This window comes from Homo sapiens, chromosome 12 (genome assembly GCF_000001405.40).
Source record: "Homo sapiens chromosome 12, GRCh38.p14 Primary Assembly".
Taxonomy (NCBI): Eukaryota; Metazoa; Chordata; class Mammalia; order Primates; family Hominidae; genus Homo; species Homo sapiens.
Genome location: NC_000012.12, coordinates 32,271,754 through 32,297,080, shown reverse-complemented (window position 1 = coordinate 32,297,080; position 25,327 = coordinate 32,271,754). Strand labels below are relative to the sequence as shown.

The 25,327-nt window shown below is 40.8% G+C and overlaps 1 protein-coding gene across 29 annotated transcripts in view; it reads right to left on the bottom strand.

The window, feature by feature from the left end:
- Positions 1–25,327, bottom strand: part of BICD1 (BICD cargo adaptor 1) — a 276,787-nt gene that overhangs the window by 86,553 nt on the left and 164,907 nt on the right. For all 29 annotated transcript variants that reach the window (NR_148725.2, NM_001413168.1, NM_001354186.2 and 26 more), the window contains exon 3: positions 2,935–3,087. Coding sequence is in view for 28 of the 29 variants with exons in the window: in NM_001413168.1 (NP_001400097.1) it covers positions 2,935–3,087 (153 nt within the window). In the remaining variant the exon portion in view is untranslated. The remainder of the gene's footprint in view (positions 1–2,934; positions 3,088–25,327) is intronic.

Here is a 25,327-nt window from a genome sequence, read left to right as displayed (position 1 = left end):
CAATTTCAGGGAATAAACCAGAATGGTGCTCTGTGCAGAAAATGATTTTGAATGAATTAATTAGATACTTAATTGGGAAAATTAGCATATGGCATGTTGGAAATAAAAAATGTGTAAGTCCCCCCTCCTTTTTAAAAAACTTCTGAGTTAACCATTGGATTCCATGTTTCAATTACTGGGAGAAGGGCATGGGGAAACTCACAACAGGAATGACAGTACAAATTCTCCCAGAACCGGCATCTGGGTTAATGAATACTCAAGGGATACCTTGGCAGTCTTTCAAGAATATCTAATACTGGCCTTCATTAACCTCCTGAGTCCATCAGTCTCCACATGCGGTCAGGGAAGGCTCTCCAGGGAGGCTGCTGATCGTGCTCTCACCATGCTCTAGAGAGCAGTGAGGAGTGTAGGAATCGGGAAGGAAGGGCCACTTTAAATAGTTGCACTTCAAGTAAATTTGTTTCAAATCCTCTATGTGTTTCATCAATAACCAAAAAAAGGACCACAAGAAAATACCCTTCTTAGGTCAGGCGTGGTGGCTCACACCTATAATCTCAGCACTTTGGGAGGCTGAGGCGGGCAGATCATGAGGTCAGGAGATCGAGACCATCCTGGCTAACACGTTGAAACCCCATCTCTACTAAAAATATAAAAAATTAGCCAGGCGTGGTGATACATGCATGTAGTCCCAGCTACTCGGGAGGCTGAGGCAGGAGAATCGCTTGAACCCAGGAGGCAGAGGTTGCAGTGAGCCAAGATCGCGCCACTGCACTCCAGCCTGGTGACGGAGCGAGACTCCGTCTCTCAAAAAAAAAAAAAAAAAACAAAAAAAAACCCCTTCTTATTTTAAAAAGTATTCGAGAAGCATCTTTACAAATGTATTTTTCTAAGTCTACATTTCTCCACTGTGAGCTCACTTATCCCAGCCAAATCAAGACCTGGGGAGCCTCTGGAATGGCCAGCCCTCAGCACACATATGGGGATTCAGTGCTTACGGAAGGAATGAGGCAGAAACACATGGGGATACTCCAGTAGCCCTTTTTTGATGGACTGAAACTGTCCCCTTACATGCCTTCCCCCCAGCACTCCAAATCTGGGGGAAGTGGCAATGATCAGAAATCAAATTTTGGCCAGACGCTGTGGCTCGTGCTTGTAATCCCAGCACTTTGGGAGGCTGAGGTGGACGGATCACTTGAGCTCAGGAGTTCAAGACCAGCTTGGCCAACATGGTACAACCCTGTCTTTACTGAAAATACAAAAATTAGCTGGGTGTGGTGGCTCATGCCTGTAATCCCAGCTACTCGGGAGGCTGAGGCAGGAGAATTGCTTGAACCAGGAGGTGGAGGTTGCAGTGAGCTGAGATCATGCCACTGCACTCCAGCCTGGGCAACACAGCAAGACTCTGTCGCAAAAAAAAAAAAAAAGAAATCAAATTTTAATTGTGCCACTACATGGATTTTTCTCTTCTGGATTTTTTTTCTTTTCCCTCTTAACCCTTATATCTATCAATCAATCAATCAATCAGTGTATCATGTAGATACCAACTCAGGAAGGGAGTGAGGTAAAAGCATACATCTGGGCTGGCTTCTAAGTTTACAGAGGACAAGAATCATGCCCTATGGATTCTTGTGTCTGTCCAACCTAGCACAGCACCTGGCACATAGGCTGTTGATCTGAACTGAGAGGTGGCAACAGCGTTTAGACCAGAATAGAGGTGTCGCTGAGGAAGCACCTTGAAAAGAACTCGAACATCCAATTCACCTTTGCTTAATTAACTACTCGATTCAACTGTATTCATAAATAAATTCTTCTAAAATTACAGATTCAATAATTATTAATAGTTCTGAAAATCCACAATGCAAACCAATCAGGAAAATTAAGCTATCAAACCCCCATTACAGCAAAAAAATCATTTAAATGTACGAATGTAATCTTTGTAGTCAGGTTACAGCTGAAAAAGAAAACAGGCATTTTCTTTTTCTTTTTTTTTTTTTTTTTCGAGACGGAATCTCACTCTGTCACCCAGGCTGGAGTGCAGTGGTGTAATCTCGGCTCACTGCAACCTCCGCATCCTGGGTTCAAGCAATTCTCCTGCCTTAGCCTCCTGAGTAGCTGAGATTACAGGTACCCACCAACATGCCTGGCTAATTTTTGTATTTTTAGTAGAGACGGGGTTTCATCATGTTGGCCAGACTGGTCTCAAACTCCTGACCTCAGGTGATCCACCCGCCTCGGCCTCCCAAAGTGCTGGGATTACGGGCATGAACCACCACGCCCGGCCTCTTTTTCTTATAATTTTGCTCTTCTTGATTTATACTTCATAATCCATTCCCCTCTACGATTTGAAAGCAATTTACAGAAAAAATTTTAAGGGAGTGAGAGACCAGTGATTGTAGGGAGACCCTAAGCTCATAGACAAGCTTACAGACCCAGGCTTTTTTTTTTTTTTTTTTTTTTTTTAAGACGGAGTCTCACTCTGTCACCAAGGCTGGAGTGCAGTGGCACAATCTGGGCTCACTGCTACCTTGACGTCTTGGGTTCAAGTGATTCTCCTGCCTCAGCCTCCCAAGTAGCTGGGATTACAGGAACACACCACCATGCCCGGCTAAGACTCAGGCTTTTAATGAGAAGTTGTCAGGTTAAATTTGTTACGATACATTTGACTTATGAAATAAATGAACACAGAGCTAAAATAAAAACTAAAATTCTTTTTCTTATTCAATAAAACTTTAGTGTACACTATACTACTTACAGGTGTATTTTTTCCTTCTATATTTTAGCTGAAATAGGAGGGTTGGGACATTGCAGTACATAAATGTTATAGAGAGAAGATAAAAGAGTAACAATAAATTCTGACAAGTTTGGAGATTTAACCCTAGTGGTCAGAAGATGTAGATCCATCTTCAGTATAACAAAAAATTTCTTAAACCTTACCTGGTTCTGCTTCAACGTGGACACTAGTTTCTGCAATGTGATATTTTCTTCTTCCAATTCAGTATAGTCCTGAAGGAGCCGTGCCTCCCGGAACTTATATTCTCGGATTTCATCCTTCATCCGTATTCTCTGTAGCTCCACCATCTCATTGTTCTGAAACAACAGAGTAAACAGTCAATATATAACTCTCTTATTGTAGATTTTACAAGGTGTAAAGTCCTGGTAGTTAAAAATAATAATAAAAACACCTCATGGGGTGTAAATTGTTACTGCATTTTTTCGAATGGCAATTTAGTGGTATCTGTCAAAAACTTAAAAGCACATATATATTACCCAGCAATTCAACATCTAAAAATCATTCTTAAGTATGTTTTCATAGAAGTAAATAGAAACAGAAACAAATCCATGTATACTTACACAAAAAATTGGAAACAGTCTAAACGTTTGCTATTTGGGGAACACATTATCATGCATCCATTGAACGGAACATTATAAAATTATTTTAAGAAACGAGAAAGGCCGGGCGCTGTGGCTCACACCTGTAATCCCAGCACTTTGGGAGGTCAAGGTAGGTGGATCACCTGAGGTCAGGAGTTTGAGACCAACCTGGCCAACATGGTGAAACCCCGTCTCTACTAAAAATACCAAAAAAAAAAAAAAAATTAGCCAGGCGTGGTGGTGGGCGCCTGTAATCCTAGCTACTTGGGAGGCTGAGGCAGGAGAGTCACTTGAACCTGGGATGCGGAGGTTGCAGTGAGCCGAGATCAGGCCACTTCACTCCAGCCTGGGCAACAGAGCAAGACTCTATCTCAAAAACAGAAAAAAAGAATGAGGAGAAACTTTATTGTACTAAAATGGAAATGTAGTCACAATATATTATTAAATGTGAAAAGCAAGTCATAGATTAGTATGCATATTAGGATCCCAGGTATGTTAGAAATACAGGGAACACACACATACACAGATACATGCACACTTCCATGTCAGAAAAAATATTTGTAAGAATATCCAGAAAACTGTCAATAGCGGTGACTTATAAAGAATTAGACTGGGCAAGCCACAGGGATAAGGAGAGGAGCCTATTCGTTTGATTTTATGTCCTTCTGGATCATTTCAATTTTTTTTTTAACAACAAGCTTGTATTACCAGGACTTATGTGTAAAGTTACAGGATATAAATCAATCAATTAAGTAAAATATTTAACTTTTTCCATAAACTTATATGGCAAGTATAAGCTATGTTTTAGTTCAAAATGTATAATGACCACATAACAGATATAAACATTTATACATGTAACATATTCATAGTCATGGAAAGATGGGATATAAAAGTTTTCTTTTAATTAAGGATTAATTAGATTTGTTTCCTATTCAAACAAAGAGAAATATGGGAAGAAGTATCATAGAAACCAAAAACCACATTTTCTTATGTAATACCTAGATATCCATATGCGAAAAAAATAAGTCATGATGCATTTGGCCTTCACACCATAATTTGCAGAGCCTTGATATAGTGGTAGGTAGGACTGACAATGAATAGAAACTGCTATTGCAACACAGATGAATCTCACTAATATATTGACTGAAATAAGCCAGATGCAAAAGACTACATACAATATGATTCTGCATGTAAAGTTCAAAAACATGCTATGTAGGTTCAATTGTCTCCCAAAAAAGACATGTTGAAGTCCTAACTCCCAGGGTCTTTACAAAGGCAAAAATTAAAATGAGATCATTAGAGGAGGCCCAATCCGATAGGGCTGCTGTCTTTATAAAAAGGGGAAATTCAGCCACACAGAAACTGACACATACTTCTGCATGTGGGATGGGAAGACTATGTGAAGAAACACAGGGAAAAGATGGCCACGTGACCATGGAGGCAAAGACCGAAGTGACCCATCTACACGCCAAGGAACATCAAGGATTGCCAGCAAACACCAGAAGCCAGGAAGGGGCAAGGAAAGGCCTTTCCCTAGAGCTGCCAGAGGGAGCATGGCCCTGCCGACACCATGATTTCTGACTTTTGGCCTCCAGAACTGTGAGACGATAAATTTCTGTTGTTTTAAAGCCACCCAGACTTTGTTACGGCAGCCCTAAGAAAAGAATACCTGGGCAAAACTAATCTACAGTGACAGAAGTAAATGCACTGTTATCTTTGCAGGAGGGTAGGGTGACATCTGCAAGCACTAGAAACATTTTAAAGGTCTCTATCCTAACAGAGAGCCAGCTCTAGAAGTATACCTGACTTTCCGACATATGCTTTCAAATGTCTCTCATCTTGCTTCATAGTCCACAGATTTTTTTTTTTTAAAGACATGTTCTCACTCTGTCACCCATGCTACAGTGCAGTGGCATGATCACGGCTTACTGCAGTCTTGACCTCCCAGGCTCAAGTGATTCTCCCACCTCAGCCTCCTAAGTAGCTGGGACTACAGGTGTACACCAGCACAACTGGCTCATTTTTGTATTTTTTGTAGAGATGGTATTTCACTATGTTGCCCAGGCTGGTCTCAAACTCGTGAAGGCAATCCTTCTGCCTCAGCCCCCAAAGTGCTGGGATTACAGGTGTGAGCCACTGTGCCCAGACTTCTACAAATTTAATATATATTTTTTTTTTTGGTAGAAGCAGGGTCTTGCTCTGTTGCCCAGGTGCCTTAATCACAGCTTATTGTAGCCTTGACCTCCCAGGCTTAAGTGATCCTCCCACCTCAGCCTCCTGAGTAGCTGGGCCTACAGATGCACACCATCACGCCCAGCTAATTTTTAAATTTTTTATAGAGGTGGGGTCTCGCCATGTTGCCTAAGCTGGTCTCGAATGCCTGGGCTCAAGCAATCCTCCTGCTTTGGCCTCCCAAAGTGCTGGGATTATAAGCGTGAGCCACTACACCCGGCCCATATTCTATAGATGTTAACTGTAAATAACTCCCTTTGTCTCTGGTTTTCAGAGGCATGTTCAGTTGTCTATTTGAACATGGTGATGTTTTTTCTTCTGACTTGACTCCTGAGTACAGCTCTTCCTAGTTCTGTTTATGCATATGTGAAAACAACAAATTATAAACACATAATCTTTCATGTAAAAAATGAAAAATTCAACTCCAAAATCACTGATGCAGTTCCAGCTAATAAAATAGGCAGACACTGTAATCTCTAAGTAGTGGCGTTAGCTCAGAGTTTTGGGGAGGATAAGGGGTTGTTGACTGTGGTGTAAAGACAGATGTTAAAAAAATTATTCTGACACTTGTTAAAATGGTAAGGAAGACTTCATTCAAAACCATTGCAATTGGAGGGGGGAAAAGAAGGGGCTCAACTCTGAAACAGCAAGAGCAAGTGAAGATTTATAGCCAAGAACAGCATGAGGATGTCAAAGGATGGGAAATTGCTAAAAGAACACATCAAGGGCAGGGGAATTCTTGCTAAGCTGGCCTAACAGGACTCTTGCTAAAGGCAGTCCAAGGACTTAGACATCAAAAAGGTGGAGGATGAAGAACTTGATCAGATATCAAGGGTAATTAGATATCTAGGGTTGGGAGATGACTTAGCAGAATTCCTTGCTAAGGCTGGGCTGGGCAAGCCAAAGCTGGGGGTGGAGCAAGCTTGAAGCCTGGTCCAAAAGAGACATTAGCAGAGCATGACTGAAGCTTGGTTAAGGAGAGAGTCTTTGACACCTCACAGTCATGAACTGCAGTCTGATAGGAATGAAAGCTAAGAAAGTTTGCAAGACACTTTACCTGGTGATAATATGAATATAGATCCTAACTTGGGCAGGGCCAAAGCTTTTTTGGCATCAGAAGATTTTTATCCATTCTGTATCTTATCATCATAAAAGCTCACTGGCTAGCTTGTAAGGAGTTCCCCAGAGACGTGCAGATTTCATCAATTTAATGTAATATCCTATGGAATGTAATCATCAATCCTGAAGCTGAAGCTATACAAACTAATTGGTTGTTTTGGAAACCTGCTTTCAACCTACTATATGTAACCTCATTTATATATAAGGGGTTGGAGCTCCTTGTTATTCAGAATGCTTCTAGGCTGTCTGGCGTTTTTCACTTTAGCTCTCATTATAATAAACTGGTAACTCCAACAGAGTCATTTCATCAACACTTTAGTAATTCACCTATGCCTACTCCACCAGTTGACTTTAGCCTAATCCTCCCTTTACAGCTTCCCTCTGTTTTTATCAGTGCTGACCTCTTAAAGCAATTCTGTAGGTCACAAGTGTCAACATAGAAGTCTTCTGAAAATAGAGTTTGCCAACTTAAAAGAACCTTACCAAAGGCTTCTATGAATTTCCTAAAAACAAAAAAATGGGCTTCTGTTTCTTGCCTCTCTACAGGAGATTATTTTAAGCAAATATGCCTGAATTTATGAAATAGTAAATATTGGTATATAATACTGTTTAAAGGTGGTTTTCCCAGCTCTAGAAAGCTACGCCCAATCATCCTCTATAAACAACAGACTCTGGGGCTGGGTGCGGTGGCTTACGCCTGTAATCCCAGCACTTTGGGAGGCCAAGGTGGGCGGATCACAAGTTCGAGAGATCAAACCATCCTGGCCAACATGGTGAAACCCTGTCTCTACTAAGAATACAAAAATTAGCTGGGTGTGGTGGCACGCGCCTGTAGTCCTAGCTACTTGGGAGGCTGAAGCAGGAGAATCACTTGAACCTGGGAAGCAGAAGTTGCAGTGAGCTGAGATCGCACCACTGCACTTCAGCCTGGCAACAGAGCAAGACTGTCTTAAACAAACAAACACACAAACAAACAACAGACTCTGATATCACAATAGATATATGGAATAGCAAAAAAGAATTTTCTTATTTCTGCCAAGATAACTGAAAAAAGTTAGCAATGACCCCAAAAAATCATAAAATACAATTTACATACAATACCTACTTTCACACTCTGTGGGTATGGTGCAGTGGGGAAGTGGAGGTCCCTTTGCAAGTTTCAGAAGCTTTCAAAGAAGTCACATGATCTGGCCCTACCTCTGTCTCCAACCACTCTGCCCCTCAATCTTTGGCTCTGGCCGCAGGAGCTTTCCTTCTGCTCCTCTATCCCATTGGACATGCCAGCTTGCTTCTGCCTTGAGGCTTCTATACTCCTCTTTCCAGAACTCCCTGCCTTTAGATCAAGGGCTCCTAATCTCATAATGTGCTTGACCCTCTTTGACAATGTGCTGAAGCCTATGTACCTCTTCTCAGAATAATATTTTAAAAAGTGTAAAAGACAAAATTACAGAAAACACCGAACATGTTAAAATTACTATAATTTTTTTTTTTTTTGAAAGAGTCTTGCTCTGTCACCCAGGCTGGAGTACAGTGGCATGATCTTGGCTCACTGCAACCTCCGCCTCCCAGGTTCAAGTGATTCTTGTGCCTCAGTCTCCCAAGTAGCTGGGATTACAGGTGCCTGCTACCACACCTGGCTAATTTTTGTATTTTTACTAGAGACAGGATTTCGTTGTGTTGGCCAGGCTGGTCTTGAACTTCTGACCTCAAGTGATCCACCTGCGTTGGCCTCCCAAAGTGCTGGGATTACAAGTGTGAGTCACCAAGCCCGGCCAACTTATTATAATAATTTTTAAAATTATGACATAGGCTGGGCACAGTGGTTCATGCCTGTAAACCCCACACCTTGGGAGGCTGAGATGGGAGGATCACTTGAGTCCAGGAGTTTGAGACCAGCCTGGGCAACATGGTGAGCCCCATCCAGAAGATTATTTTGTACAAAAAAAGAACATGCCAAAATTAGCCAGGTATGGTGGTGCACACTTTTAGTCCCAGCTAGTCAGGGGGCTGAAGTGGGAGGATTGCTTGAGCCCCAAAGGTCAAGCCTGCAGTGAGCCATGATCATGCCACTACACTCCAGCCTGGGCTACAGAGTGAGACCCTGTCTCAGAAAAAAAAAAAAAAAAAAAAAAAATTAGGACTTGGTAGGTGACAGGTAAGTATATTAATGGCCCCCAATTAATCACACTTCCCTGAAGTCACAACCCATGGAATTCCCTCTCAAACTGACTGAGCTGGCCTTTGGATTTGTTATGACCCACAGAAGACAGTGGAAGTGCTGGGGAGTTCTGAGCCTGAGCCTCACGGGGCTTTGTGGCTCATGCTCTTGCTGTCTTGTAACACTGTGACTATGTGAAGAGCCCCAGGGTAGCCTGTTGGAGCCATGTGGCCCAGCCTGCAGTCAGCACCAGCTGCTGGGCATGGGAGGAAGGCCATCTTGGACTATTTGGCCCAGTGGGGCTGTCAGATGACTGCAACCACATGAGCAATCCTGGCAAGTCCTTAAGAACCACCCAGCCGAGGCCGGGCACAGTGGCTCATGCCTGCAATCCCAGCACTTTGGGAGGCCGAGGCGGGCGGATCACAAGGTCAAGAGATCGAGATCATCCTGGCTAACACGGTGAAACCTCGTTTCTACTAAAAAATATAAAAAAGTAACCAGGTGTGGTGGCGGGCACCTGTAGTCCCAGCTACTTGGGAGGCTGAGGCAGGAGAATGGCGTGAACCCAGGAGGCAGAGCTTGCAGTGAGCCAAGATCGTGCCACTGCACTCCAGCCTGGGCGACAGAGACAGACTCCATCTCAAAAAAAAAAACAAAAAAAAAAACACCACCCAGCTGAGCACAGCCCAAATTGCTGACCAACAGAATCATGGGTTATTGTTTAAAGCTCCCAAATTGTGGGTCATTCATTACCCAGTAATACATAATCAATACAGTAATACATGTGCTTCTTTATTAACACAATTAGAATCAGATCTAGTATCACATCCAAGAAATCTCATAATTTCAAAGCAATGATAACATTTCAAGACACCTGTGAAAACTGAGATATAATTTAAAAAAACTATACTTTCTACTGGTAACAAAGTAACAAGTGCTACTAGTACTACTGAGATTTGTTGTCTACATTCAAATAGAAGAAAATGCTAAATTTCAGTCTGAGTTGAGTGAAAATACAGATGTAATTATTTTTCTGATCCAAGTCTATAGACCTCCTGAAATCTATCCACAGACTCCCAGAAACTCAGCTGAAAAACTCTTCTGTGTTTACTTGTTATTTAAGTCTCATTTCAGATGTCATCTCCTCAGGGAAACCTTCCCTGAGCAACTAATATAAAATAGCTCCCCTCGCCCTCCACTCACCCATCAGAGTTACTTTATAGATTAGTATTTAGCATGGAGTACATACTTAGAAAATAAGTGTTGACAGAATGACACTGATTATTATTTGAAACTGGCTACTTACTTTTTATACATTTTATATTTATTACATTTCCTTTTGCATCTGAATATAATGATCCTTTGCTGCCTTGTTATCCTGTGTCCCTAATACCTGGTACATTTTAGGCCCTAATGACCATGGAATGAATAATAAAACAGGTATACAAGTGATTAATCCCCCAAAAAATATATATTACATGGATGACAGCTTCCTGTGTTGTGTTATTTGAGAAGGAGGCACAAAGGGAGAACAATGCACTTTGAAATAAAATACACCTAAATCTTCAAAATAACTTGACTTGTTATTCTTCTCTAATATATTGTCAAGTTACTTGGTTTCTGCCTTCTGTTCCTTGGGCAATACTTGCAGCATAGTGTGGAATAATTGTAGAATGAAAAATAGTAGTGTTCCCCTAATTTGGCTATAAAGTCAAATTACAGTATTTCATTACATTCTTTTTTTGTAGAAACATATTATCTTAATTTTTTTCTTTCTTGAAAAATCTATCAACTGAGTGAATGATATATATATTTACTTATTTTTCCTTATTTAATATGTATAAAAAAGATATCAGGAAGCCCAACGAACTGGATGACAGTCATTTATATAAAATTGTAAAGAAAAATGTTAAGATACAAGAGATTCTGAAATGGGAATATATACATTGTAAAAAATATAACGGCTAATAATCTGGCTTATATACTCTGGGAATTAACCATAAAATCTTATGCAGTGAAACAGTAAATGTCAAGAAAATTTAAGACCACAGCAAAGCTAATGAGGATCACTAACAACTCGTAAAATAACTAATGAAAACTCCTGATGCTAATTAAGGACAAGGAAGAGCTTGGGCTGCAACACTGGTTAAGCTGAAAGACTCACTGAGATGAACAGACACAAGGCCCAGAGGAAGAAAACTGGTCTTATTTATTTTGCTAAAAATCCTTGCTTTTTGAATTGCCAGCGATTATATTCTAGGGGCATGTTCTTTAATTTCACAATAAATTTAAAAGATTGCAACTGTTGTGTTTTGCACCATTCATCATACATTTATCTCCTACAATTTTTTTTTCTTCCTGGGATAAGATGGCGCTGAGCTCTGCTAAAAATTCCCATCAAGAATAACCAGAGTAAGAAAAATAATGCATGAGAGAAAGGGAAGAAAATGGCACAACAGGGGAATGCTTTAGCTTTTCACCTCCAGGGAGCTGAGTCTCAGCTCCTCAGGGGAGAGGGGATTAGCCTGAGATGGCAGGGATAGAGTCACCTCATTATTTGCATTGCACCTGAGCATAGCAGCATTCTTACAGTTTAGTTTAATTAACATTAAAAAGATTTCTTTATGTAGGAATCATAAATTCCCTTCACTATTGGCAAGAAGAAAAAATACAGATGAACGCTTGTCACCACACAGAGTCAATATATTAAAAATAATACTGCCTTCCAGTTTTAATGCTCTTAGTCTTTTATAAATTAATTATACCCATTGTCACATTAGATATTAATAATAGCTTGGTTAGGTGGGTAACAAACCCCTGTTTACTATCTGCAAAACAGGAATCCTAATACTTAAGATTACATGATAATTATGAGGATTTAATGATATAACATGGTAAAATGAGCAAGGATGCTAGACATACAGATAATTTATGGTAACACGAGCAGAAGTTCACACGCAAAAGCCTAAGCAATTGATTACCCCTGGGTGAGCCAGGGAACACTTTATAAAGGAAGTTATCATTGGGTAGAACCTTGAAGGAAAAGTAAAGGTTAACTAAATGGAGATAGAGGAGGGCAGATTTTCCAGCCAGAGATAAACCTTCAAACAGAAGTAGCCTTATATTTGTGTTGAAGGCAATGCTAAAATTCTCCAGTTAGACTGAGCATTTCCTTACAGCCCCAGCAAGCCTGGAGCAGTGATCAAAAGAAAAGAGAAGACAGAAACAGAAAAATCTGGAAAACAGCTAGTTATTTTCCACATATGCCTAAGTTCGGTGCTATTTTGTAGAATAAAATGTTAAATTAGTCTAGTGTCGCGAACCTCTGAAGTAGTGGGAGGAACCAAAATATAGTCAGTGCTTGGAATCTTTAAAGTTCTTAACTAGGCTGTGGTTTAGGGAACGGTGCGGTTTAGTGTGGTTGGAGCAAAGTAACTTGAGAAAGATTCCGCAGGAAATTCTACTTTTAAAGTAGAAATTCCTTTGTTTAACAAAGCAATCTGGGGAACCATCAAAGACTTTTAAGCAAAACAGCCACACGATCAGACCTACGTTTTGCCAAGTGACTCTGTTGAGAGTTGCGAGGGTGGACTTTAGCAAGAAAGGTCAAAGAGAACAAATTAAGCAGCTGCTCCAATGCCCAACATGAGAGAAGACATGAAGAATACGGAGGGGACAGATCGGGGAACATCTCAGTTAGAATGAACAGGATTTGGTCGCTGACTGATGTGATAATACAAGAAAACAAAGAGTAAGGAACAATGGCCTAATAACAATAAAAGTACCTAGAGTTGTTAGAGAAAAAGAAATTTTATAATAAAGTGAATGTGAGAGTCAATGATGTATCCTATAAATACTTATAAGTAGTGTTACTTTTGATAGTCAAACCAGGAATTCTGGATCCTAGAGGGGAGTAAGGGAGAACAACTGATCTGGTCCAGGTGGAGAAAGCTGGAGAGAGGGGTGTGGGAACAGGCCTTCTCTCCCAGGGAGTGCCACTGGCAGGGAGTTCTGGCAGTCCAAGACCCTAATATTCATTGTCATTCATTTGGCCAAAAATGAACTCTTCTTTTGTTGCAGACAGGAGTGGACAACAGTTCTCCTTGCCCCCCACCCCACAGGGATTTCTGTGTTGGGGCCAAGAAGGCCTGATCTTCAGTAGTTAAGGAAAGTTTCGGGGTAGAGGGAGGGCAGGGAAGGAAAGGGGAGACCCACTTTAGCCCAAGTGAGCCCAGTGACATTATTGGCTGCACGGCCGCTATTCTCCATACCTTGGGACAAGCACATGCTTTATTTGAAAATTCCAGGGGCACAGGCTCTGAGTTTCTCTTTTGTAGAAAACAAGAAGGCTGGGACCCCTGGATGTCAGATCCATGGGACAGGCCCAGACTTCTCAATCCTCAACCTTCTCAACACAGGTGATCTGCTCCTGTACCCACATGAGCCACTCACACCCATATCATTTGTCATGTTATCACCAATAACTGCACCTCTGATTCTTCCAAATCAGGCTCTGCACTTCTTCCAATCAAACCACTCGCTCTTCCACCTCATCAACGTTTCCTATCCTTTGATCCCCAATTTGCTCATTATCTACAACGGTGGTTCTTCACTTCTTTGATTTCACCATCATCGCATACTTACTGACTTGCAAACACATTTAATTCTGTCTCATCTCTCTCTTTTGGTCATAAAACCTAACTCTCTGCCTTCTCTATGCATGCTCATAGCTGAGGAGAACTGGAGAAATGACAGATCTGTGCTGACTGGGGACTAGTTTCAGCTGTAACTCGTGGAGAGGCAGTGGAGTGGAGTGGAGTGGAGTGGAGTGGAGTGGTCAAATGCCCAGACTCTGAGCAAGACGTCCCCGGGTTCAGATCCTGACTTCGGTATTAACTAAATTTGGTCAAAATCACTGATAAGAGTGATGGACTTAAAAAAAACAAATAGTCCTGAATCTCTCAAATTCTAATAGGCTGTAAATACTGTCCAGTGGTCATACTACATGTTCACAGTATAGCAAGTTATTTACTTCTCTCTCTTCCTCTTCCTACAGTCAGTCCATCTTCCCTCCCTGAAAACCTTGCCTCATATTTCCTTAAGGGGGAAAAAAACCCCAAGGAGATATGGCTTCTATCCCCACCTTCATTTTCATTAGTTGCTTCCATTCTACTGCAGACAGTTTAAAGACAGTAAGTCCCATCTTAAAACAAACAAACCTTAACCTTTATATTCATATTTCCACTTCTACGGTCATGAACATCTATTCTTAAATCACATTCCTCCTCAATCCTCCCAAAGAACACTGAACCTGGTCTCGTCAAAGTCATCAACAACTTGCACGTTGTCATTGGATCGGTGGCCACCTCTGTATCTTCCTCTTTCTGGGCTTCTTCAACAGCATGTGTTGCTTTTGGAAACACTTTCTCGTGTGGCTTCCCAGACATCTGAACTCTTACCTGCCTGGCTGCTTCTTTGCAGTCCCCTCGTCTCTGCTCAACCTCTAAAGGTTGAGCCATCCAGGTCTGTACCAAGCCCCTCCTTTTGCTGTTTCCTCACTTCCCAAAGGCAACCTCATCCAGGCCTCCAGCTTTAGATACCTCCTTGCGTGCTGATGATTCTCAAATCCACGTCAGGGTTAACAAAACCCTATGCGACTTGCCCTGACCTCCTTGAAAGAGCTCAGGAAGTATCCTTCTCCCACTCATCCACTTTGCTCCCCTCCCTGGCCTTCTGTTGGTTCTTGAAAGACTTCAAGGTGCAGCCTGGGCAACGTGGCAAAACCCTGACTCTACAAAAAATACAAAAATTAGCTGGGTGTGGTGGCATGTGCCTATAGTTCCAGCTACTCGGGAGGCTGAAGTGGGAGGATCACTTGAGTCCAGGAGGTGGAGGCTATAGTGGGCCGAGACCATGTCACTGCACTCCAGCCTGGGCAACAGAGTGAGACCCTGTGTCAAAAAAAAAAAAAAAAAAAAAAAAAAAAAAAAAAAAGAAGAAGACCTGAAGCTGGGTCTTGCTTTAGAGTTTTTGCAGCAGCTGTCTCCTCTGCCTGGATTTCTTTCTCCTTGTTCACACTCTTTTCACTAGGATCCTCAACCTAACTGTCATCTCCAAAAGCAGCTTTCTAAGACCATTCCTTCTACAGCAGCCACTTGGTCACACTCACATAATCTGATTTTAGTGATCTGAAAAGTGTTTATCAAGATTTGATTTCTTTGTGTGTTTATTGGCTATCTTTCCCCCACTAGATCTAAGAGCCATGAGAGCATGTTGTCAGTAACGGTTTAACCACTATATCCCCAGGATCCAGAAGAGCACCCCATGCACGCTCCTTGTATTCCACAGCTCAGTCTCATCACTTCCAGCCTGGATTGGATTGGTGGTGACCTGAAGAAAGCTGGGAAGCGTTGTTGGGATGAGCTTAGCTGGGCAGCCAAAAGAAGGAGGGTACAGACATATTTCATATATTTGAGTTCATAGATTGAAAAAAAAAAGGATATCTACAAAGCAGGCCCATATAAAATTCTCCAGTGTTTAAAAACCCTTATTGGTGACATCCATTCCATGTGTATTTATACTTTATTCTATCTCTTTAAAAAATATGCACTAAGGAAAGTATCTGACAAACTTATCCACTGTAAGGTATACACATGCCTGATACAACTTAACTCTCTTAGGGTTGGTTACAATTAATGAGGGCCAGAGAAACACATCTCTGTGGTGCCAGCCAATAACAAGCTGATGGACGCAGGAGGATTGTCTTCTGAAATTGCAATGAGGCAAGCCCAATTCTCTGTTGGGCAGTAATGTATGCATCACAAATCTTTAGGAGAGCTACTGGCAAAGAACGCAAGGTATTCAGAGCACCATGTAATCAGCATCTTCCCAGGGCAATCCAGACTTAACAACTGGGCAATAACCAGGAAAAAGTAAATGTAGCAAGTTTGAATTGTGGCTTAAAACAAACATGTTCGGGAAGAAAAAAAGAAATATAAAAAGATCTGTCATAGCTGGGAAAGAGTAATAAGGTAATAAAGGGGGAGATAATTATGACTCCAGAACACCATTTCCCATAGGGTGTTCTGCAGAGGCTAGTTCTACGGAGTGTTTCTGTGAGTCACTAAAAAAAAGTTTGGGAAATATTAGGTTAAATAAAGTTACATACTTGTTTTTTCTTCTGGATTTCTCAGAACCTTTAATATGTTAGTGTGCACTGAGACTCTGTAAGAGCAAGATATGGTATGCACCATTCGCTAAACTGATTTGACCACAAGACCTTTGTCCTTTTAAAAAAGCATTTTGAACAATACAAAGGTAGCCCAAGCTAGACCCTTCCAACTGTAGAGAACTGAATGGAACATCAGATTTAAATAATGGCATAAAATAAAAAGCATAGGGCTGGACGGCTGTAAAAAGGGGTGAGACAAAGATGATCAAGTCCTGATTAGCAACGAGTGAGTAAACAAGTGAAGGACTTCAGGACGTGCCACCCCAAAATATGCCACTTTGGCATACTGATTATTTAGAGCTGAAAGCAATGGAGAAATAGCAGATGCAGGAAAGCCTTTTGACCTCCCCCTTTCTACTTAAAAACACACCATTAAAATTTCCAGGAGAAAGGTGCCCTCCCTGTACCAGGAAGAAAAGAACATCTTTATCACCTGAGACTTGGAATTGACTCTGAAATAGATCTGTACAAACTTACTAAAATATCCCTTATCTTCCATTAGTTTCCCCCTCTATATTTTTAGTGACTTCCTCACAATTTACTGCCTATAATCCAAACTGCTTTGTCTTATCACTTCTTCACAAATTTATCATTTCTTCATCTAAAAGATATATAAGTTTACTACTTCTGGTCACTTCTTTGGGTCTTCATTGTCTTGTGAGGACTTTCATGTGCAAGTAAAATTATAATAAAATTTGTATGCTTCTCTTCTATTAATCTGTATTATATAAGTTTAATTCTTAGGCCTAGCCAGAGATTGTAAGAAGGTAGAGGAGAAATTTTTCCTCCTCTATACAAGAGTAGTAAAACTACAGTGAAACCCATACTGCATAATTTTCACTTTATTTTTATTTATTTATTTATTTAGAGATGCAGTTTCACTCTTGTTGCCCAGGCTGGCGTGCAATGGCATGATCTTGGCTCACTGCAACCTCCGCCTCCCAGGTTCAAGTGATTCTCCTGCTTCAGCCTCCCAAGTAGCTGGGATTACAGGCATGTGCCACCATGCCTGGCTAATTTTGTATTTTTAGTAGAGTTGGGGTTTCACCATGTTAGTCAGGCTGGTCTCGAACTCCCGACCCCGGTGATCCACCCGCCTCAGCCTCCCAAAGTGCTGGGATTACAGGCGTAAGCCACTGACCCTGGCAATTTTCACTTTAATTCATATGAAGAAAGTGGCACCACGAAGGGTTAATTCTCCTACAATGAATTTGAAGCAATACAAGCATCTGTCCCATGGGATACCTGCCTCCATTAGAAGCCAAGGAGAGCCTGTCTCACAACCAGTTCACATTTCAGTGTCACTTCAAACATTTATCATAAGCAAAACCTTGACAGCAGCATAAAATCGGCCCTTTTATTTTAAACAGTTGAAATAAATGGTGCAAAATAAATCATAAATGACTTGTCTTCTTACATTCTGATTTCTATTTTTTCTTCTTTGTGCAAAAGAACACATTATTTTAAGCAATAAAATAAACGAATACGTATTGACATTGCATTTTAATTGGGTGGAACATGTATTTTTACGGGAAAGCTTTTTGGGGAAGATCTTTCTTTTGGTATCACTTTATCGAGCTATAACTCATATATTTACAATTCTCTCATTTAAAGTATACAATTGAATGATTTTTAATATTGTCACATAGTTGTGACCACCACCGCAATCAATTTAGAACATTTCTATCACCTAGAAAATAAATTCTGTATCTTTTAGGGAAGGTCACTGCCCTGACCCTGTAATGCTTCTATCCCCGCAAGTCCCAGGTAACCACTAATCTATTTTCTATCTTTATAGATTTGCCTATTTTGGACATTTCATATAAATGGAATCATAGAATATGTGGTCCTTTGAAACTGTAAGATTTTAAACAGTTTGGTTAATGCTCATATAACCTTTGTTTTTTGAAGTCTATAGACAGCTTTGCTGCAGCACAAAATCTATTCCACACTATATCAGCAAAGTACTGCATTGTGCTGGCATTTGTCCAGCACACAACAGATCTAGTAATGTGATATTCTATTTCACAAAGTAGCATGATCATTTAAAGTTCACTCAATGGGCTGCAATTTATTTATTTATTTATTTATTTATTTATTTTATTTCTTTGAGACAGGGTCTCGCTCTGTCGCCCAGGCTGGCGTGCAGTGGCGCAATCTCGGCTCACTGCAAGCTCCGCCCTCCGGGTTCATGCCATTCTCCTGCCTCAGCCTCCTGAGTAGCTGGGACTACAGGCGCCCGCCAACACGCCCGGCTAATTTTTTTTTGTATTTTTAGTAGAGACAGGGTTTCACTGTGTTAGCCAGGATGGTCTCGATCTCCTGACCTCGTGATCCGCCGGCCGCGGCCTCCGAAAGTGCTGGGATTACAGGCATGAGCCACCTCGCCCGGGCTGCTAGTTAATTTTTATTAGTAAAAATGTGACTGTCTGACCTGGGTATTTTAACCTGGATTTACTGATTTGTTTTGGAATAAGTTTTGCAGATATAAAATACTATAATCTTTTCTCTTTTCTATAATCTACCCTGAAATCAAGAACCATTGGTCATTTCCCAAAGTAGATTGGTTATCTCTTGCTTACTAGCTTGACTGTTCTTTCTCTTTCTCTGTTTAAAATTCAAAGATGCAAAACACCATAATGAATGATGGCATGACAATTTTCTTCTATGATAATATCTTCTTATAACTATGAATATCCATGGTGCCCTGATACCACAATTACTACAATAAAAGAATTCATTATATGGAAAAAGGAAATATTGGTAATACACTAAACAGATGTGAAATCTAGATGGTGCAATAATGGTGAAGGCTGGATTCACAAATATTCCAGAAGTAGTTCAATCTCTGGTAAATATTGTTTCATCTCACCTTCATAGACTTACCTGTGACCTGGCTGCAAAGAGAGGCCTAACCCAAGAGATAAGCAGCAGCGACAATATAAAAACCATTGATTATAAGTAATTTTAGTTCCCATCACCATGGGAACACACTACATATAGACTTTTATTGAGAAGAGGTGCTGTGAAAGGGAAAGAAGTGAGCAAAAATGGAGATAATGGTTTGCATTAAGGTAATGTGTTAAAGTGGAATTATACTCAAATAAAGAATGAAAATATATAGGGATGAGAAAGGAGAAGGTATTCAAGACAGCAAAATGCTAGATGAGCATCATCCGAAAGGAAAGGTACAGAAAGGGGGGAATTAATATAGTTTACAGCTTGATTTGCAAATCAAGGGACTAAAAGTTAATCCCTCAAGGGACTGAGAGATATTAGCAATAGCATTTTTGTTTATTCTTTGGGTATGTGTGTATAGCAGAGATCATTCTGATCCAGAGTCTTTGAAGCTTTAACAGGGTACCTGGACGGATTGACTTAGCTGTTTGTTTTTGTTGCTATAAAACACCTTTACCATCCAGAAAATAAAGGTTAGCCCAACTATTGGTAATGAAAAAGAAAGCTTAAAATAATCGTGAATATAGTTACCCAAATGAAGTCTTTGATATATGTAACAGGATAAAAAATAATAGCTTCAGAGAAGTAACTGTTACTGTTTGTTTTTGTTTTTTAAGACAGAGTCTTGCTCTGTTGCCCAGGCTGGAGTGCAGTGGCATGATCTCAGCTCACTGCAACCCCCACCTCCCCGGTTCAAGCAATTTTCCTGTCTCAGCCTCCCGAGTAGCTGGGATTACAGGTGCGTGCCACCATGCCCAACTAATTTTTCTATTTTTAGTAGACATGGGGTTTCAACAGATTGGCCAGGCTGGTCTTGAACTCCTGGCCTCAAGTGATCCACCTCCCTCGGCCTCCCAAAGTGCTGGGATTACAGGAGTGAGCCACCGTGCCTGGCCACAGTTACCGTTTTATAAAGAGGTGAGTGGTAAACAGTTCTGGACATGGACCTGGGTTCATATATTGACTTACACCAAAACATTTTTGGGACTGTTAGTTTTCTTCTAAAAGTAGGGGGGGACGTCCAGAGTTGTCAGAAAAAATGAGAAAGAATGTTTGAAAGCACTTTGTAAATAGTAATGAGGTACCCTCTTGAATAAGAGGTCATTTTTTTACCTATTGCTTACTATGCTCACTACCTGGATCCAATATACCCATGTAACAATCCTACATATGTACCCCCATATCTAAAATAAAAGCTGAAATATTTTTAGAAAAGAGGCAGTTTTTTAAAAAATCACTTAAAATCTTCTGTAGGAAATAACTGCATTGGAGAATGCTCCTTCAGAACTTTCTTTAGCATCAATAGCCATTTGAAGATTCTTTTTTTTTTCTTTTTTGCAGTTGCAAGATTTAATAGAGTGAAACAGTGAAAACAGAGCTCCCATACAAAGGGAGGGGACCCAAAGGGGGTTGCCGTTGCCAGCTCGAATGCCTGGGTTTATATCCTGATCCTTGTCCCTCCCGCTGTGCTCTCAGGCAATAGATGATTGGCTATTTCTGTACCTCCTATTTTTGCCTAATTAGCATTTTAGTGAACTCTCTGGTTGGGTGTGAGCTAAGTTGCAAGCCCCGTGTTTAAAGGTGGATGCGGTCACCTTCCCAGCTAGGCTTAGGGATTCTTAGTCGGCCTAGGAAATCCAGCTAGTCCTGTCTCTCAGTCCCCTCTCTCAACAGGAAAACCCAAGTGCTGTTGGGGAGGTTGGCCAATGACTGCTCTAACAGCTTCCTGCTGAATTGGGGCATAGTAGGTGTTGTGTAGTTGAGATTTCCTCCGGAAGGGTGCCTTCCATGTCATTAACATTGGAGCATGGGCTAGCAGGCCGGTCCAGGGGTCTGCGGTGGATCTTAGTCATGGACTGCATCTGGGGCTCCATTTGAAGAACCATTTGTAGTTTTACAGTTTCAATTCTGGAAGAGACAAACGCTTCGGAGGTCCCTTCATGGTCGCCAAAATGTTACCGGGGATCCTTGCTCACAGAGCTCCCAAAATGGTGGCAAGCCGCTTCCAAGATGGTGGTGGGCGGCTTCCAAGATGGTGGCAAGCCTCGTGTTCTCTGACCTGGGGTTCTTGGCCTCACGGATTCCAAGGAATGGAATCTTGGGCCATGCGATGAGCTATTAGAAGCTGTGGGTCATGGAAGAGAACCGTGGAACCCAGTGACTAGTGTTCAGCTCGATTAGGACGAACCCAGGCACTTAGCCGTGCAGGAACAATGGCAAGCTTTTAGCACAATCGGGAGTGGCAATGGGAGTCTCGCTGGATCAGGAGCACAGCGGACACCCTGCCGGATCTGGAGGGATGGGAGTCAGCGGCGATGGGAATCAGCGGCGGGTCTGCGACAGTGGCAAACAGCAGTGGTGGACGGCAAGCGAAAGCTCAGCTCCAGCCGTAACAAACATGGACCAGAAGAGTGCAGTAGCAAGATTTAATAGAGTGAAAACAGAGCTCCCATACAAAGGGAGGGGACCCAAAGGGGGTTGCCCCATTTGAAGATTCTTTGAAAAAACTAACAGCAGGCAGATATGACTCTAACTCATCATATGAACAAGTTAGGATGAGGAGATACTGATTCCAGACCCAGAAATTATAAAAATATAGACGGTGACTAAAAAAAGTCTCACTCCCATCTTGTTCCACATCAGTCTACTTCCCATCCTCACTCCCAAACCACTGTTCCTAGTATCTTATCTATCCCGCCAGGGTTCCTTTATACCTTACTTATTTTCAAACTTTATTTATAGAGCCAGCTTATGCCTACATGAAAACCAACATAGTTAGCATAATTTTATAATGAACGAATCACTACAAAGGTATTTTATTTATACGTGTAATTTACAACTTGATTTGCAAATCAAGGGATTAAAAGTTAATCCCTCAGGGGACTGAAATATGAGTGTGTGTATATATCATATATCTAATGATAAACATATAGATCACTAGAATGTGTATCTCATATGGCGATCTTCAATTACAAGCATGAATTTATTTTTAATAAGCACTTACACAATGTTTACAATGTGCCAAGACTATTACAAGCACATTGTTTTAGAAATATAAAACTCTTTTAACCTTTTAGCCTACATAGCAATCCTGTGAGTTGGACACCATTATTAGTCCCATTTTACAGCTTGGCCAACTGAGGCAAGGGAGGTTATGTAATAATTTGCCAAAAGTTTTAGAATAAAATAAGTGGTATCAGGAGTCAAACTCAGACTGTCTAGTTCTAGAACATATGTTCTTAACCACTATGCTTTGCTACTTCTAAAAATGCCTTATTAACGTGATTTGTTGTTGGAATGGGGTGGCTAATGCTAATCAGATTATTGTTATCTCTGTCTTTAGGTCATAGTTTCCCTTTCTGTGTAAAATAACAAATTAATATAAATATAAATATAAACGCCTCAGTAAAGTGGCCTCAGATTATGATTTAGTGGATACTATTTCTGAAAAATATATTGCTTTATTATTTTCAAGATGACTTCCTACAAATTCTTCAGAACTGATTCTGGAGCTAATGGTAGCAATAGCTGCTCACATTTTGAATATTCATTGCCTTTTAAATAACTTTCATAAGTAGAAAACCTGGTTACTGAAACAGAGCAATATCTGTGACCCTGACTATCAAAATGTGTTTCCAGAATCTTTCCTGTTCTGTATTCCATGACTGTGAGTACAATAGGGTAACTAATATAGAATTTCAGTTCTGATGTTCTTATTAAAGTTACAGACTTCGAGGTATTGATCTGTCTTAAGTTGGCTGCCACGCTGATTTTCTACAATCATATTAGAAGTCTAGAAAACTCAAAGATGTGTTTTTAAGTAACTATATGTTAAATGTGATCAATTTTTTTCTACCTCTTACAATCTACATTAAAGTGTCGAAAAGAACTCTTCTTACCAAGGTCCCCCACGAAACCCTGCCTTCAAGCCTAAAAGAGCCTGAAGGCTGAAGAACTGGACTGCTGGTCCCGGATAAAGCCTGCCCTTTCTCAGCTGATTCTCTCTGAATAATGCCCACCTGCACACTGGGGGAAGAGGGTGGAGCCAAGAGAAGTTTACGCTTGTTCAGCGGGGAGGAGCCTGGCCTCTTCAGTTCCTGTGTGGTGGCCTGGTGTTCAGTCTGTGAGGTGGAGGGCCTGTTGGCAAGACTCCCTCTCGCTTTGCTGAGAGTTCTTTTTCCTTTTTCCTTTTCACCCAATAAATTCTGCCCCTCACCCTTCTATGTGTCCCTGAGCCTAATCTTTTCCGGTTGTGTGACAAGAACCCGGTTTTAGCTGAACTAAGGAGAAAGTTCTGCAACAATGATAAGGATGAAATGGACTAGCTAGTGATTTCTACTATGTTATTTAAAGTCTGAAACTGCCTTGAGGCACCCTCTACTAGCTGATCATTATTACTGAAATTTAGACACCGCTTGGTACGTGGTTTAATCATCCAGTTTCAGCAATGTGACGGGGGTATAATGGCTTTTCTGTACACTTGTATCTTGGCTTCCCTGAAAACAGATATCATGCATGCATCTTGGTGGTTCACACCCAAACACAGAGCACATCCAGTGAGCCTGAGGAAAGGCGCTGCTTGCAGGAGTCTCAGCCCCCTCTGTGTCTGCTGGTACTTGCTTTCTCCCGCTGTACCTTATCCTCCAGTTTATACTCTACCAGTATACCCTTTGGAATCTTGTGAGTCTTTTCAATGATCTGACTCTGTGTCACTACTCCAATTTCAGTAAAAGCAAACAAAAACAGAAATCGAGGCTATGAGAGTAGAGTGCAATAATGATGAATTCTGGCAGCCACCCAGGAAGACACCATTGAAAAGACAAGGTCCTGCCTCCCTTACGTCTTGCACACTCATGATGCTGAGCCTGTCAGTGACCAAAAATCAGACTACACAAGTCAGCCAAAAGTGAAACAGAGGTGTCAAGCATATGAACTGCATCTGAAAGTTTTTGCCTTCCTAAGAATATTCTTAGGCCTCTTCTTCACACACTCCAGAGCAATGAGAAACATTTGGAATTGAATTTTCCTATAAACTATATCTTTGCAGATAGACTTTTAAAACCAAATAAAGTCCTGTGGGTTTTTCTTTTCTTTCTTTTATACGAACATAACAACTGCTTCACTGTCATTACTTATTTTCCAATCTAAACCCTCCACAAGAGTCTAGAACACCATGTGACTCAAAATAAACTTTTCAATCAATTACAAGGCCATTGAAATGGAAAATCTTGATTTTTAAAAATGTTTTAATATGTTTCCTTAACCACATTGTGGCAGGCCAGGTCTCACTAGTAGCTGAGATTACAGGTGCACGTCACCACGCCCAGCTAACTTTTTGGTATTTTTAGTAGAGACAGGGTTTCACCATGTTGGCCAGACTGGAATAAACAAGTTTTATTGTCAGTCTGAAGAAATTCCCCAGGCCTCCACACACAAGTTTATTGGAGGTCTGAAGGAACTCCCCAAACCTCTGTGATTTAGCAGGAGACAAGATAAGGGTAATCACCCTAGCACCTGGACCCATTTAGATTAAGTAAATTTACTGAGGCTCCAGAGAAAGGTCTTCAGGACTCAGATCTTAGTTATAGATTAAAAGAAGTTAATCACTTATGTCTTTAGATGAATGCACACTTATATGTAGACATACAGCTTGGAAGGTTTATAAGCTCTGGAAAACTTTGTAATTTTGAGTTGGTGTGGTGACAATTTCTAGGCCTTCTCCCTGTAACCAAATGCAAAAATAAAACCTCTCTTCCCCAGTTTGTCTGCATCTCATTATTGGGCCAGGAGAAGTAGCAGCCTGACCCTCAGTTTTGTCCAGGAGCAACATGTATATGATTTATACATTGAAAAGAAATTTCTCAGTCATAAAAGAAATAGTGAAAGAACATTATGATTTAACAATATATAACTAATATGTAATATTAGTGGTTGGGAATTAAATATGGCATAAGTAGTTAAATAAAAAGTAACTTGTAGTACATGTTTTACTACAATAATGGGTAAACTGAGGCCCAGAGAGATTAAGGAAACAGGTAGATCATAGAGCTAAGAAATGAGAGATGTAGGTTTTGACCCAGGAACCCTTAAGTATGAGCTCCTTTCACTAAGACACCTTGACATTGTCTCTTGGCTTCAGGCAGTAAGTAAAAGAAAAACAGATGGAAAGGAAACAATAAAATATGCAAAGAGAAAATGAAGAATTCTCTGAAAATTATCAACTTTAAATCGAGATCCAGGCAATAGGATTAAAA